This window comes from Homo sapiens, chromosome 16, assembly GCF_000001405.40.
Source record: "Homo sapiens chromosome 16, GRCh38.p14 Primary Assembly".
Lineage (NCBI taxonomy): Eukaryota > Metazoa > Chordata > Mammalia > Primates > Hominidae > Homo > Homo sapiens.
Window position 1 is genome coordinate 61,023,333 of NC_000016.10, and position 2,842 is coordinate 61,026,174.

Genomic DNA, 2,842 nt, shown 5'->3' on the forward strand with positions numbered 1-2,842 from the left:
CTCTATTTGCTCCATCTATTGAGTAAACGAGAGTATTTCCTATTGATGTCTTCATACAGAAGAAAATTCATAGAAATATTTATACCAAAATGTTAATAGTGTTTCTTTTGTTGGTGGCTTTTCTTATCAAATTTTTTTTTAGTTTTTTTCTTTAATGGACATGTATAAATTATGTAATGCATTTACAAAAACGCTCCTCAGTTTAAGAAAGTAAATAAATGATAATCATTTTTAAATGCTTACTGATCTCTTTAATTGTAAGACTCAAAAATTTAGAAGTAGGAGGTACAGCTGTTAAAATCACAAGTATGACCTCAGGCTATATCAACCTGAGCATGGAGTTGAGGTGCGCTCCAATAAAGGCATGGAAAAGAGGTTTAAAAAACATACATTATCCTAGTCAGAACTGAGGGAGTCACATAACCTGAGAAGAAAGAGAGGAATTATTTCTTTTTGGGCAGAATATTTATGTCTGCTGATATAACTTGGCCATTATCTAAACTACCACTCTGGTATTACATTGGACAAAAATTAATAAAATAGTTTTCTTATTACAACACTCTGTTGACAAAAAAAAATATTAAACAACAAAGAAACTGTCTTAACCCCCAATACTGAATTGCATTTTTTTCCTCTGCTAGCTCTTAAAAATTAGAGATACTGAGGGGGAACAAATTCTCATAGATGGGTGACACTCTTAATCAGAGTCAAATCTTGGAAGCTGTTTCAAATTAACTCTTTTCACAGTTTTCAGCAGTTTTGTGTGGCATGCACATGCTTTGTCTAAGATTTTTATTATACATAATATTGTGTGGCTTGAAACACCACTTATTAAGTTCCTATGGTTTGCTGGATAATGTGGTGACTAACATTTCTGGAGGACCTCATAGGATAGTGGAGAAACAGACATGTAACTATGCCAATCATATTAACCACAGTAAATGCCATGACAGAGGAAATGAATAGGTCACACTGGAAGTCGAGAAAATGGTAGTCACAGTTCTTTCCTTAATACCACTTAAGCACTTGTGGGGAAGACGGGGATTAGACCCATGACAGCACAATCAGCTTCTGCATCTTTTGTGCTGAGATTACAGTGCAGTGCCATTGTTTCCTTGTATCCTCATCCAAAGGCTCATGGCTAATTAATATGCTTGATTGAAAGGCAGCAAAAGCTTGTGCATGCATGCAATGGATAAAAGCCTAGTGTTGCTGAAAACAAAACAAAATGAAGAAAAAAAACCAAACCAAATAAAATAAAATAAGAAAGAAAAGAAGGAAGAAAGGAAAAAAGAAATCAGAGCCTTACAGTGGACACAAAAGCTTAGCTCTGCAAGAATGTTAAACCCTATTTTATTTCTCTGTCACTGAATTTAAAATGAGATTGGAGAAGGACTGTAAGTGTTGAGAAGAGTGAAGCAATTTCAAGTGACAGAGTTCAAAAGAGGTGGTTATGCATTTCTAAATGGGTACTGAATCTCCTTTAGAGATATTTTGCACTTAGAAATAAAGAGTTCAGTTGAGACCGTCACCTAACTTTCTGGAAAAAATGGCCTATGCAAATTGACCATATCTTTTACTGAAAGCTATGGTCATAGGAATTCCAGGTTTCATTCATTTGACATTCCACAAATATTTATGGAATGTCTACAGTGTGCTAGGGGCAAGGAAAACAAAGCATAATATTTCAAAGGGATCTCTGTGTAATTAATGCCCCCAAATTGTATATGTTAATAAATAACCCTCAACAACTATAGACAAAAATGCTAATACTGATTTTAAATGTATATTTGCATATATGTGTGTATATATATTTACCTATTATGTGTTATGTATTTATATGTTATATATCTCAGATAAAAGACTGGCCATATGACTTTATAAGCAATAATTTCCAGTAGAAAATAATGACACAAATTGCTTATAGAAGGGTATGTAAAGAAAATCATGTGTTCTTTTGCCAACATCCCAGAACAGATGTTGTTTTGTACTATGACTTAATAACCTATTTAGTAATTGTGAGAGGTATATAGAAAAAAATGCCATGACTATGAAAGTAAATATAGAGAATTAACCTACAACTAAGCCCTCAATTATTAATCCCATTAAAAATTTTTGCCAACTGCAATTGTCTACTAAATTTTACTTTCATTTTACTCTCAAAATAGTATAGGGGTTAGGAAGAGTAAGCATTCTTATCAATATTTTACATAAATTTTGAGTTCAGAATGATAAGACGTTTATCATTATTTCTAACAAGCATTCTTGCCTCTTTGGGCTGGTACAAAAATCATCATTTTTTCTTTGGGATATCACCCCTACCTCATTCCTTTCCAACGTTCTTTCACTCATATATTATCTCTGTCCAAATGGTCCTTGTTTCATTGCCTTGTTTCAATTTTTGTCATTTACTTATTGATGAATTAGAATATTTTATGCCCTGTCAACAATGATTGTGTCAGAGATAGGCATATAATGGACCACTCATGGTGTTCCATCACATTTATTACAGAGATACTGTGAAAGAGGTCTTTATTTCAGGAATTTCAAACTCCAAGAACTAGATAAGTCAAAACCTGCCAGCAGAACACAATATCTGCAGAATGAATTTATACCAGTTGCAAGTGATACAACTGGTACTATTTCAAACATATAGAGATAATGCTTGCAAGTGGATCAGAACATGATATAGGAACACAATTTTGTACTGTTCATCTCTTAACTCTGCTTTTCTTTGTGCTGGATCTATTGTCAAGCAACTCTCCCTTTCTCCTTGGTGGCAAAATCACTGTCATCAGTTTTACACTTTTTATCCCATTTTCTCAGCATCCCTCAAAGAAAG

At 33.5% G+C, this 2,842-nt stretch overlaps 1 annotated feature.

The window, feature by feature from the left end:
* Positions 282-2,389: an enhancer, noted in NCBI's record as "VISTA enhancer hs1383". NCBI's record gives its function as "enhancer in: forebrain[11/11]" and the evidence as "EXISTENCE:transgenic organism evidence [ECO:0001131][PMID:17130149]".